The 14,245-nt window shown below is 38.9% G+C and overlaps 1 protein-coding gene and 1 long non-coding RNA gene across 3 annotated transcripts in view; one reads left to right on the forward strand and one right to left on the reverse strand.

The window, feature by feature from the left end:
- RNF103-CHMP3 (RNF103-CHMP3 readthrough) overlaps positions 1 to 14,245 on the reverse strand; it is a 217,693-nt gene that overhangs the window by 85,699 nt on the left and 117,749 nt on the right. The window lies entirely within an intron of this gene.
- CHMP3-AS1 (CHMP3 and RNF103 antisense RNA 1) overlaps positions 1 to 14,245 on the forward strand; it is a 55,380-nt gene that overhangs the window by 27,059 nt on the left and 14,076 nt on the right. The window lies entirely within an intron of this gene.

The raw sequence follows: 14,245 nt of genomic DNA on the forward strand, positions 1-14,245 counted from the left end.
ACTTCCCAAAAGAGGTTTTTCAAATTACTAATAAACATGACAACGGTTTTAGCCTCATTAGTCATTGGAGAAGTGCAAATTTTTCCGTTTGTTTTAACTTTTATTTTAGGTTCAGGAATACATGTGCAGGTTTGTTGTATAGGTAAATTCATGTCGCGGGGGTTTTGTTGTACAGATTACTTCATCACTTAGGTACTAACAAGGACGCAATAGCTATTTGTTCTGCTTCTCTCCCTCCTCTCACCCTCCACCTTCAATTGGTCCCTAGTGTCTGCTGCTCCCCTCTTTGTGTCCATGAGTTCTCATCATTTAGTTCCCACTTGTAAGAGAGAACATGCAGGATTTGGTTTTTTGTTCCTGCATTAGTTTGCTAAGGATAATGGCCTCCAGCTCCATCCATGTTTCTGCAGATGACATGATCTCATTTTCTTTTGTTTTTTGTTTTGTTTTGTTTTGGTTTTTTTGAGACAGAGTCTTGGCTCTGTCACCCAGGCTGGAGTGCAATGGCGCAATCTTGGCTCACTGCAACATCTGCCTCCTGGGTTCAAGCGATTCTCCTGCCTCAGCCTCCTGAGTAGCTGGGACTACAAGCACATGCCACCATGCCTGGCTAATTTCTGTATTTTTAGTAGAGACAGGGTTTCGCCATGTTGGCCAGGCTGGTCTCAAACTTCTGACCTCAGATGATCCTCCCGCCTCGGCCTCCCAAAGTGCTGGAATTACAGGTGTGAGCCACTGTGCCAGCCGATCTTGTTCTTTTTTATGGCTGCATAATATTCCATGGTCTACATGTACCACAATTTTTTTTATCCAATCTGTCACTGATGGTCATTTAGGTTGATTCCATGTCTTTGATATTGTGAATAGTGCTTCAATGAACATGTGTCTTTATGGCAGAATGATTTGTATTCTTCTGGATATATAACCGGTAATGGGATTGCTGGGTTGAATGGTAGTCCTGTTTTTAACTCTTTGAGAAATCACCATACTGCTTTCCACAATGACTGAAATAATTTATACTCCCACCAACAATGTATAAATGTTCCCTTTTCTCTGCAACCTTGCCAGCATCTGTTATTTTTTGACTTTTTAATAATAACCATTCTAACTGGTGTGAGATGGTTTGGTGGTTTTGATTCACATTTCTCTAATGATCTGTGATATTAAGCTTTTATTCATATGCTTGTTGGACATACGTATGCCTTCTATTGAAAATTGTCTATTCATGTCCTTTGCCCACTTTTTAGTGGGGTTTTTTTTCTTGTAAATTTGTTTAAGTTTTTTATAGATGCTGAATATTAGACCTTTGTCAGATGCATAGTTTGCAAATGGTTTCTCCTATTCTGTAGGTTGTTTGTTTACTCTGTTGATAGTTTCTTTTGCTATGCAGCTCTTAAGTTTAATTAGATCCCATTTGTCAACTTTTGCTTTTGTTATCTTTGTCCTGAAATCTTTGCCTGTTCCTGTGACCAGAATGGTATTGCCTAGGCTGTCTTTCAGGGTTTTTATAGTTTTGGGTTTTACATTTAAGTCTTTAATCCATCTTGAGTTGATTTTGGTATATGGTGTAAGGAAGGGGTCCAATTTCAATATTCTGCATATGGCTAGTCAGTTATCCCAGCACCATTTATTGAATAGGGAGTCTTTTCCTCTTTGCTTGTTTTTGTCAGCTTTGTCAAAGATCAGATGGTTGTGGGTGTGTGGTCTTATTTCTGGGCTCTCTATTCTGTTCCATTGGTCTATGTGTCTATTTTTGTAACAGAACCATGCTGTTTTGGTTCCTGTAGCCCTGTAGTATAGTTTGAAGTCAGGTAATGCGATGCCTCCAGCTTTGTTATTTTTGCTTAGGATTGCCTTGGCTATTCGAGCTCTTTTTTGGTTCCATATGAATTTTAAAATAGTTTTTTTCTAGTTCTGTGAAGAATGTCATTGGTAGTTTGATAGGAATAGCATTGAATCTGCATATTGCTTTGGGCAGTATGGCCATTTTAATGATATTTTTCTTCCTATCCATGAGCATAGACTGTTTTTCCATTTGTTTGTGTCAGCTCTGATTTCTTTGAGCAGTGTCTTGTTATTCTTATTGTAGAGATTTTCCACCTTCCTGGTTAGTTGTATTCCTAGCTACTTTTTTCTTTTTGTGGCAGTTGTGAATGGGATTGCGTTCCTGATTTGGCTTGTGGCTTGGTTCGTGTTGGTGTATAGGAATGAGAAATGCAAATTAAAACCACAAAGAGATATACCTCTATACAGTCACCAGAAATGCTAATATGAAAAAATATATGTAACATCAAATGTTAGTAAGAATATGAAACACTGGAACTCTCTTATACCACTGAAGAAAATGTAAATTGGTACAACTACTTTAGAACACTATTCGTGTTTACCAGAAATGAACATAGCACACTCAATAACGCAACACCCTCAAGAGAAATGTGAATATATATGAACCAAAATTATATACAAGAATATTCATAGAAGTAGTCTTTTTTGTCTTACTGTTTTTATTTTTTTATATTTATTTATAGTAGTACTATTTGTAATTGCCAAAAACTGAAAATAAGCTAGATTGCTCACCACAATATAATGAATAACTATAAATTGTGGTGTGTTCATACAATTCTACACAGTACTGAAGATGAACAAGCTACTACTACATATGACAGAGATGAACCTCACAATTGTAAATAAAAGAAACTGTAGGCAAATGACTATATCCTACATGATTTAAATTGTATAACACTTAAAAAGAGGCAAAACGAATCTATGAATGTAGAAGTTATCATAGAGATTACATTTGGGGAGAAATGTGAAGGTAGAACCTCCCTCTGGTTCCTTCTGAATGTGACAATTGTTCTGTTTCTTTATCTGGGTGATGGGTTACATGAGGGTGTTGACTTTGTGACAAATTAATATTCTTCATATTTGAAACTTGTATACTTTTACGAAGACATATTTCCCTTCAATGAAAGCTTTAACTAAAGGAATAAAATAATGTATTTTCCCTAGATGGCTGGAAATGGTCAAACAAGAGTTGGTGAGGATGCTGCACATTTGTTCCATCCCTTTCCTGTCCCAGCCCTCTCCTTTTTAGCTAATGAATACATGCTACGAGGCATCAAAAGCTCTTTCCACTTCCTACATGTGGTTTGCCCTATAGGAATATTATTTCAGAAAACACTACTACTCCATTCAGACTGTGGAATAACTCTCAGATAACATGTAGCTTATAGTTAACACCACATGTTCCTTGACTAAAAAATCCAAGCTGCTTGAACAAAATCTAGGACTCTGAAGACATGTTTTTCCAGAATAGGTTAATCAGATACATTCCTGCTTAGGTTAAAGGAATACAACTGAATGAGTTACTGCAGGCTTTTCTCATCCTTAGAAATCTTTGAAATTGTAAAGGGTCTTTAATTTCTGCATAGCCCAATCTAGTGCATAGTATGCAACAAACTCTCTTTTGCTTTGGTAGTGTTACCTCTCATCCTTTTCATGCTTTGGTAGTATTACTTCTCATCCTTCCCATAGCCACAGAAATATAGCAAAGTCTGTGTAAATCTGCCCTTGTTCAGTAACAGCAGAGAGTATGCTTGGCTGAAGCAGAAGAAAGCTGCTCTCTTGCCTCCTGTTCCCTTTTTTGGAGATGTTCAGGGTAGTAAAATGAGTTCAGTGCTGAACTCATGAGGATGATCTTTACTACCTTACATTCACAGGTTTCTCTCTAAATAAAAATCCTGGTTAACTATGAGCCATTTTGATGAATAATGGAAATATATTTCAGAGCAAGTAGGTTCTATTAGAACTAGCTTTTTAAAAAAGATAAACTCCTGACTCATCCTGCCTCCCAAAGATGATGACTGGGAAGTGTCCAACAAAGTGTCCAGATCTGGGCTTTCAGCACTTGCTCTTGCTGCGTTGCCAGCTCACTGCTCGCTTTTCTGTGGATCCTGGCAGGTGGAATGTTTATAGATTTTTGCAAATGTAGCATGCCTTTTGTCAGATGATAAGTGTGCCAATTTGTAACCGGGACATAAAAGATCTAAATTCATAGAGAAAATTGTACTAAATGACCTTCACATTTGCTTCTGACACTCAGATTCTATTATTTTAAACAGAAAAACTGTAAGAATCACATTCTTTTTTTTCCTCACTAAACAAACCTAGGTGCTTTTAAAGCAAAGCAATATACGTCAAGATTGGTCACCAAGTCCACCACATTCAAAACTAATAAGTAATTTTAACAAGATGGTTTTAAAATTCCAAGACATTGCCATGTTTGACATTTTGAGAGGTATCTCTTACCTAAGCCTCTGGCAACAAAGCTAGGAGTCAGCTTGAGGAATTCTGTTCCAGAAACCTACTGTTTTAGCCACTTGGCTCAGAAATTAAGTGAAAATAAATGAAGAGCACTTAAACCATAAAAATAAAAGCTACCCTGAAAATATCAAGAAGTTCTAATTTTCCTTTTGCTGTGCCTGAAACCCTACTACTTCATCTTTGTGAAAGGACCTCACAAAACCAAGTTACGCATGTGGAAACGTGGCCCAAGACTCTGTTTTGTCAATAAATAGACAGCATTCTCAAAGCAACTTCCCCAATGAAAAGAGCTCACATAATTTTAGAACAGTAGTGACACTAAATACACACTGCATGTGAACATCATTTTTATATTATACAACTGATGGCATGGTTTAAGGCAAAATTGGTGAGACTGTTAGGCCATTAACCTTTTTTTTTTTTTTCTTCCCATGTTCAAGCAATTCTCCTGCCTTAGCCCCACAAGTATCTGGGACTACAGGCATGCGTGCCACCATGCCTGGCTAATTTTTGTATTTTTTAGAGATTGAGTTTCACCATGTTGCCCAGGCTGGCATTGAACTCCTGAGCGCAAGCGATCTCCCCACCCCAGCCTCCATTAACCTTTTATAAGGGAATCTAGGAACAAGATTTCTGTCCTTCTCACTCCACCCCCCAAAATGAGTTTTCCTAGAAACAGAAACTTTTCACTTTGCCAAAACATTTCAAAGTTAATTGTTTCGAATTTTATAAAATGAATCTTCCTGACTTCTTGTGCAGATGATACTGGTAAAATATTTTTCTTGGTGACACAGAATCATTGTCGGCAAGATAGTGACATTCTTTCAAGACATTATTTGTTACTGCACTACCTGGCCACAAACTACTGTCTTTTGTTTTGTTTCTTCATAACTTCCATCCTTTACACCAAAGTTTGTAACTATGACCTCTTTGGCCTGCCTCTGGCACGCCCCTCCCTTACTCCATAGCTTCTATAGGTGTGACTCCTGAAGACTGGGAAGCCAGATCAACAAGCTCATTGAAATCTATGCAAAGTAAAAATAAATTCTCTCTGGCTCCTCATTCATTCAGTAGATGCTTATGAATAAGAAAACGTCTGCATGCCTTTGACATCTCTTTAGGTGCTTCTCTATTTTCAAGCTTACTTTTGTTCTTCATTATTAGATAAATAGGCTATAAATTTAGTTAAGTATCCTCTATGTCAACACAAAGAGTGTATTTTAAAAGAGACTGTAAATAAGAGTATTCAAAAACCATTTAACGTCTAATGTAAGGAGTCTACTATCCCATTATGCACATAAACAAAGGGAACTTGACAGTAATAAGTGTCAGGGATACCTTGTTTTACTGCATTTCACCTTACTGTGCACCACAGATACTGTGGGTTTTTTCTTTTTTTTCAGATGGAGTTTTGCTGTTGTCACCCAGGCTGGAGTGCAATGGCACGATTTCTGCTCACTGTAACCTCCACCTACCGGGTTCAAGCAATTCTCCTGCCTCAGCCTCCCGAGTAGCTGGGATTACAGGTGCGTGCCACCATGCCCAGCAATTTTTTTAAATTTTTATTTTTAGTAGAGACAGGGGTTCACCACGTTGGCCAGACTGGTTTCGAACTCCTGACCTCAGGTGATCCACCCACCTCGGCCTCCCGAAGTGCTGGGATTACAGGCGTGAGCCACTGCGCCTGGCTAGATACTGTGCTTTTTTTTTACAAATGGAAGGTTTGTTGTAATCCTGTGTCAAGCAATTCTATCAGTGTTATTTTTCCAACAGCATGTGGCTCACTTTGTGTCTCTGTGTCACATTTTGGTAATTCTAGCAATATATCAAACTATTTCACTATGATTATATCTGTTATGGTGATCTGTAATCCGTGATCATTGATGTTACTATCGTAACTGTTTTGGGGCATCATGAACTGAACCCATATAATACAAGGAACTTAATTGATAAATGCTGCATGTATTCTGACTGCTGCACTGGCCAGACATCTTCAATTAGGCCAATTAATAACCCTACAATGGCCTCTAAGTGTTCAAGTGAAAGAGTTGCAGGTCTCACATTAAATCAAAAGCTAGAAATGATTAAGATTAGTGAGGAAGGCATGTTGAAAACTGAGATAGGCTGAATGCTAGGTCTCTTGTGCCAAACAGCCAAGTCGTGAATGCAAAGGAAAGGTTCTTGAAGGAAATTTAAAGTGCTACTCCAGTGAATATATGAATGATAAGAAAATGAAACAGCCTTATTGCTGATATGAAGAAAGTTGTAGTGGTCTGGATAGAAGATCAAACTAGCTACAAAATTCCCTTAAGCCAAAGCCTAATCCAGAGCAAGGCCCCAACTCTCTTCAATTCTGAAGGCTGAGAGAAGTGAGGAAGCCGCAGAGGGAAAGTTGGAAGCTAGCAGAGGTTGGTTGATTCATGAGGTTTAAGGAAAGAAGCTGTCTCTGTAACGTAAAAGTGTAAGGTGAAGCTGTAAGTGCTGATGTAGAAGCTGCAGCAAATTATCCTGAAGATCTAGCTAAGATCACTGATGAAGGTGAGTACACTAAACAACAGATTTTCAGTGTAGGCAAAACAGCCTTCCATTGGAAGAAGATGCCATCTAGGACCTTCACAGCTAGAGAGAAGTCAACACCTGGTTTCAAAGCTTCAAAGGACAGGTTGACTCTCTTGTTAGGGGTTAATACAGCTGGTGACTTTAAGTTGAAGCCAATGCTCATTAACCATCCCCCAAGTTCTAGGACACTTAAAATTTATGCTAAATCCACTCTGCCTGTGCGCTATAAATGGAACAACAGAACCTGGACAACAGCACATCTGTTTACAGCATGGTTCACTGGATATTTTAAGCTCACTGATAAGATTTACTGCTCAGAAAAAAAGATTCAGTTCTAAATATTACTGCTCTTTGACAACGTGCCTGGTCACCCAAGAGCTCTGATGGAACTCTATAAGGAGATTGGTTTCATGCCTGCTAATGTGTGACAACATCCATTCTTCAGCCCATGGGTCAAGGAGTAATTTTTATTTTTAGTCTTATTACTTAAGAAATATAGTTCTTAAGGCTATAGCTGCCATAGATAGTGGTTTCTGTGATGGATCTGGGCAGAGTAAACTGAAAACCTTCTGGAAAGGATTCACTGTTATAGATGTCATTAAGAACATTCATGATTCATGGGATGAGGTCAAAATATCAACATTAACAGGAGTTTGGAAGAAGTTGATTCCAATCCTATGGATAACTTTGGGAAAGTAACTGCAGATGTGGTGGAAATGCCAAAAGAACACGAAGTGGAGCCTAAAGATGTGACTGAATTGCTGCAATCTCATGTTAAAACTTGAGTGGATGAGGAGTCACTTCTTATGGATGAGCAAAGTGACCTTTTTTTTTTTTTAGATAAAATGTAGTCCTGGTGAAAATGCTGTGCACATTGTTAAAATTACAAGAAAGGGCTTAGAATAGTACATAAACTTAGTTGATGAAGCAGCAGCAGGATTTGAGAGGACTGACTTCAATTTTGAAAAAGGTCTGTGGGTAAAATGCTGTCAGACAGCATCGCATGTTAGAGAGAAATCTTTTGTGAAAGAAAGAGTCAATTGATACGGTCAACTTCATTGTCACAGCCACCCCAACTTTCAGCAACGACCACCCTGCTCAGTCAGCAGCCATCAACATTGAGGCAAGACCCTCCACCAGCACATGATTATGACTTGCTGAAGGCTCAGGTGATCATTAACATTTTTTAGCAATAAAATATTTTTAAATTAAGGTATATACATTTTAAAAGACATAATGCTGGTCGGGAGTGGTGGATCATGCCTGTAATCCCAGCACTTTGGGAGGCTGAGGCGGGTGGATTGCCTGAGGTCAGGAGTTCGAGACCAGCCTGGCCAACCTGGTGAAACCCTGTCTCTACCAAAAGTACAAAAATTAGTCAGGCATAGTGGTGGGCACCTGTGATTCCAGCTACTCAGGAGGCTGAGGCAGGAGAATCGCTTTAACCCGGGAGGCAGAGGTTGCAGTGAGCCGAGATCAAGCCACTGCACTCCAGCCTTGGCAACAGAGCGAGACTCCGTCTAAAAAAAAAAAAAAATTAAAGGCAGATCATACACACTTCTGCTCTCATCACCCGACTTAAACTTTCCTGGGACCCTGAAGATATGCAAATTTGAAAGCTGCATCCTAGTCACATCTGTAACTATCTGCGTTGTCCTGAGTTCTTGATCGTCTGGTAAGTGGGAATTCTTCTACTCGACCTGTTGCACAGGGATTTTATGAAGTGAAATAATCTAGTATATATAAAACAATAAAATATTTTGATGAGATTTTACATCATTACAAAAAGTGTAATGATTTTACATCATTACATTTATTAAAAAATTAAATGAAAAGATTGCCTAAATTGATCATGTCAATATATTTAATTGACAACAAAGAACAAGAATGATTAAAACACAGATGATTAAAACATATTTTAACAATTAAATTTCAATTTATTCTTCTTTGAGTTTTTAATCAGATCCAACAGCAAAAAGGACCTAACACAAGATCCAGATCTTTCTCTACGTCACGTCCCTTTGGTAGAATTTTAAGGAATAATAAAATGGCCAAGGAGAAAAACGTGGGAGAGCAAGGAGAAAGATCACATAAATAATCTCCCAGGCTCTCAAACAATGTAAGGAATAGACGAAAAGAAGTATGTAACTATGGGGAACAATTAAGATTTTTGTCTTGGAGCAGGCCATAAATATTAATATTTTTGTCACTTCTAATGGGCACTAAAAATATAATCTGTTTTCTTCAATCTTTTCCACCTATTCTAAATGGATAGTAAAAAGTTTGGCAAAAGCTGGCACGGTGGCTCATGCCTGTAATCCCACCACTTTGGGAGGCTGAAGTGGGTTGATTACTTGAGGTCAGGAGTTCAAGACCAGCTTGGCCAACATGGTGAAACCCCGACTCTACTAAAAATACAAAAATTAGCCAGGTGCAGTGGTGTGCGCCTGTAATCCCAGCTACTCAGGAGGCTGAGGCAGAAGAATCACTTGAAACCAGGAGGAGGAGGTTGCAGTGAGCCAAGATCGTGCCACTGCACTCCAGCCTGGGCAACAGAATGAGACTCCATCTCAAAAATAAATAAATAAATAAATAAATAAATAAATAAATAAATAAATAAATAAAAGTTTGGTAAAGGGAAAAAATAAAATAGATTCTTAAAGTTCAAGCCAACAATTATTGACCGAATATCTACTCTGGTTCTAATATGTTAAGGATATAAGAGTAGATTATAGTGTTACTCCTGCCCTCAGAGAGCTTATCATCCTTAAAGAAAGAAAAGGCTACACAAGGAATTATTAGAGAAGACAGTAGAAAAACTCTTGATCAGAAGAAATTATCTGTCCTACCTACTATTACAGTTAACCATAGAGTTCAGTAACTACATAGCCCACGTACTTGAAATCCGTAGCTCATTACATGAGATAGGTTGTTCTAAGAATTCAAACGTTTATTTTAAACACAGCTAAAGTTTACAGTCTATCAACCTTAAATATTTCCTTCAATGCTCCACCTCCAGGAAAATCTGACAAAAGCATTATTACTTGTTGTGCTTGACAATTAAGTGATGAGTCAAGCTTGCCTGGAGACATGTAACTTTGGCAATTATTTTCCCACTGATCTCATTGTAATATTTTTATTGCATATCTAACGTTGAAAATGTATTATGTCTATTTTGTGCCGTCACTGTGGATACTTGGACAAACAAAACAGTTCCTACCATAAAGGAGCTCACCAAAGACACAGAGTTTTAATTCAATGCAGCTAAGTGTGACAGGCATGTACATGGTATATCAGTGGGATATGGAGGAAAGGCACACATTGGATGATGATAAGTTTGATCACTTGGGTGACATTCACCTGAGTGTCCATTGCATATTTTTGTCTCTTTATAAGCCTGGTGAGGAAGGAGAAGATAGGTAGGAAGGGACAGAATTTCTGGAGAATGTGGGATTTTGCCAGGCAAAGCAGAGAGGAAGGAGTGAGAATATCAGGTAGAGGGAATAGCAAAGCACCAAGCTGGGAAAAATTAGAGCATGAGCCTGGGCCACAAGCAGAATAGAGTGTCATGATGAGTGTAAGAGGTAGGCCAGGAGCAGATTATGAACCTTGAAAGCCAGTGTTAGAGATTGGTTTATCTTCCAAGTTAGTAGTCTCCAACATATGGTGTGCCCTGGAATACTGGGGAAATTTTAATTCTCTTAAAAAATTTCTATGCTTTTGTGTATATTTCATATGCATGCACGTGTATATATGTATATAAATATACACACATACATATATATACACGTGTATATATATAATTTTTCATTCACTGAAATCAGGACCTTAATTAAGAGGATGACTGGGGGTGGGATAAATGAATAAAAAAGCTCTCTTAGGGTCATTAAGTACTTAAAAACATGAGGAGAAGCTGTCCAGCAGACAGCTATAAATGAAAGTGAAGATCTAGGAGGGGTCTTTGCTTAGATATGTAGATTTAGGAGACATCCAATGAAGAGAGAAAAAAAATCAATGAACCAATGGCAGAATCTTGGGAAACACTAACATTTACAATAATATGGGCACTTAAAAATTTTTTAAAATTTGTTTTTATGCTCATATTTGAGAACTGTGAATGATTACTTTTTTCAAAAGTAAAATTAGAGCACAAGAAGCAGTGCTTGCACTTTTATTTAAAAACTCCCAAATATTAATACAAAGTAACTGCTAGGCCTTATTATTCCTTAGCATATGAAAGTGAGACACAATGCATCATGAAGGGGAAAAAATGTCAGCAGCAATTCAGAATGAAAAAAATTTCTTGCCATTTTGGGGGGCATCCAATTAAGGATTTTACAAGTCTACCATGAAACGGGCACTTTGAAGAAATGGCTGATTACAGGGCTGGCTCAGGGAAAATACAAAGTGAACTTAGGATACCTTTGTGTCAAAAGGCAAGGAAGTGCTTCGAGATTAAAGGGACTGTCAATAGGACATAAGAGCCGGCTTAGAGAGGCTCCCTCTAGCCTAATCTGGGATGATTTGAAAATCAAGAAGAATCATAAATTCTAACACATAGGGTATTTTAAAAAATCTGTGAATCAAAAGTGTGAAAAATGGAAAGTTCTTGTTCACAAAAAAGTCAATAAATGTAGAATGAATGATGGTATTAGAAAACCCCCATCTTAGCCAGGCACGGTGGCTCACGCCTGTAATCCCAGCAATTTAAGAAGCTAAGGCGGGTGGATCACTTGAGCCCAGGAGTTTGAGACCAGCCTGGCAACATGGCGAAACCCTGTCTCTAACAAAAAAATACAAAAATTAGCTGGATGTGGTGCCACACACCTGTGGTCCCAGCTACCCAGGAAGTTGAGGCTGCAGTGAGCTGTGATCATGCCACTGCAACTGCAGCCTGTGTGACCAAGACCCTGTCTTGAAATAAATAAATGAAATTCCCATGTTGCAACTCTTCTTTAATAACTGATTGATGCAAAGAATCAACAGATGTTAAAGCCATTGGGTTAGATTGTTGAGGAATAGGATATTTGCATAGTCTCAACAGGTTCCTTCTTAAAGTGAAAAAGTATCTTAGAATGGAAAGAAAAGGCAAATATCACTTTAACCAAATGTCACCAATAATAGGACAAACTGACATGTGCCTTCTGATGCCATACAAATGGAAAGTACATACCTTCCAGACAATATCCTTTAAATCTAATCATGAAAGAAACAGACAAATCTAGAATGTGGAGCATTTTATAAGTCAACCATCCTGTAGTCTCCAAAAATGTTAGTACCAAAAAAAGGCAACTAGCAAGGCATTATGGCTTATGCCTGTAACCCCAGCTACTCAGGAGGATTGCTTGAGCCTAGGAGTTCAAGACCAGCCTAGGCAACAAAGCAAGACTCCAACTCTCAAAAACAACAACAACAAAACAAACAAAAAACAAAACAAAACAAAACTTAGCACTGTGGCTTGAGCCTGTAGTTCCAGCTACTTGGGAGGCTGAGGCAGGAGGATCGCTTGAGCCCAGGAGTTTGAGGCTGCAGTGAGCTATGATGATGCCACTGCACTCTAGCATGGGCAACAGAGCAAGACCTTGTCTCAATAAAATTAAAATAAAATAAAATAATAAAATAAAATAAAATAAATAAAATAAAATAAAAAAATAAAATAAAAATAAGTAAAACAAATTGGCCAGGTGTGGTGACACATGCCTGTAATCCCATCACTTTGGGAGGCCGAGGTGGGCAGATCACCTGAGGCTGGGAGTTCGAGACAAGCCTGGCCTACATAGTGAAACCGCATCTCTACTAAAAATACAAAAATTAGCCAGGCATGGTGGTGCATGTCCGTAATCCCAGCTACTCGGGAGGCTGAGGCAGGGGAATCGCCTGAACCAGGGAGGCGGAGGTTGCAGTGAGCTGAGACCATGCCACTGCACTCCAGCCTGGGCGACAGAGAGAGGCTCCATCTCAAAAAAAGAAAAAAATGATAAAAGAAAAATAAAACAGAACACCAGAGAGAAATCAAAGAAGAGTCTACTTTTTTAAAAAGGGGGCAGGGGCCTAGCGCCGTGGCTCACGCCTGTAATCCCAGCACTTTGGGAGCCGGGGCGGGCAGATTACCTGAGGTCGGGAGTTTGAGACCAGCCTGGCCAACATGGAGAAACCCCGTCTCTACTAAAAGTACAAACATTAGCTGGGCGTGGTGGCGGGTGCCTGTTATCCCAGCTACTCGGGAAGCTGAGGCAGGAGAATCGCTTGGACCCGGGAGGTGGAGGCTGCGGTGAGCTGAGATCGCGCCATTGCACTCCAGCCGGGGCAACAAGAGGGAAACTGTCTTTAAAAAAAAAGAAAAGAAAAGAAAAAGAAAAAAAAGGGGTGGCGGCAGGGGGAATTACTCTAGAGGAAAGGATGAAAAGGAGGAGACTAAACTTAATGTATCGACTATGTCTGAGTTCACAATAAAAATAAAACAAAAACATTTAGATATAAAGGATATTTCAGGAGCAATTGGGGAGTATCGATTTTATATACATTAGCTATTATTGAGTCAATGTTAAATTTCTTGGGTGTCATAATGGTATAGTGGTTACATAAAAGAATGTCCTTGTTCTTAGATATGTGGTGATATATTTAGCAGTCAGTCATCATGATGACTGAAATTTATTTTCAAAAGGATCAGCGGCCGGGTGCGGTGGCTCATGCTTGTAATCCCAGCACTTTAGGAGGCCGAGGCGGGCGGATCACGAGGTCGGGAGATCGGGACCGTCCTGGCTAACACGGTGAAACCCCGTCTCTACTGAAAATACAAAAAATTAGCCGGGCGTGGTGGTGGGCACCTGTAGACCCTGCTACTCCTGTGAACCCAGGAGGCGGAGCTTGCAGTGAGCCGAGATTGCACCACTGCACTACAGCCTGGGCGACCCAGTGAGACTCCATCTCAAAAAAAAAAAAAAAAAAAAAGAAATATACACATAAGAGATAGGAGATAAAACATATAACAAAATGTGAACACTTGGTGAATTAGATAAAAAGAAATGGATGTTCACTGTACTATGTTTACAGCTTTCTGTAGCTTTAAAAAATTTCAAAAGTCAGAAAAAACATAATTTATGTGTGGCTAATATGCTATAGTTGATTTTATTTAGATGAATGTGCTAAGTACTGATAAATTATTTAGTACTTTTTCAAAAGCCCACCATGAAACTCTTTCCCATCACAGCTAACCAAGCTAAAAGGTGAACTGTCACATCTAGCAAGTGCCAGCAACATTTTGTCTTCCTCCCCAACGTGAGTCAAGAATCATGTTTGATCTATCTGTGAAATTAACAAACCAGCAAAACACCTATATCATTCAGCCACCTTATCAAAAAAA

The sequence above is a fragment of the Homo sapiens genome, chromosome 2 (assembly GCF_000001405.40).
Source record: "Homo sapiens chromosome 2, GRCh38.p14 Primary Assembly".
Classification (NCBI taxonomy): domain Eukaryota; kingdom Metazoa; phylum Chordata; class Mammalia; order Primates; family Hominidae; genus Homo; species Homo sapiens.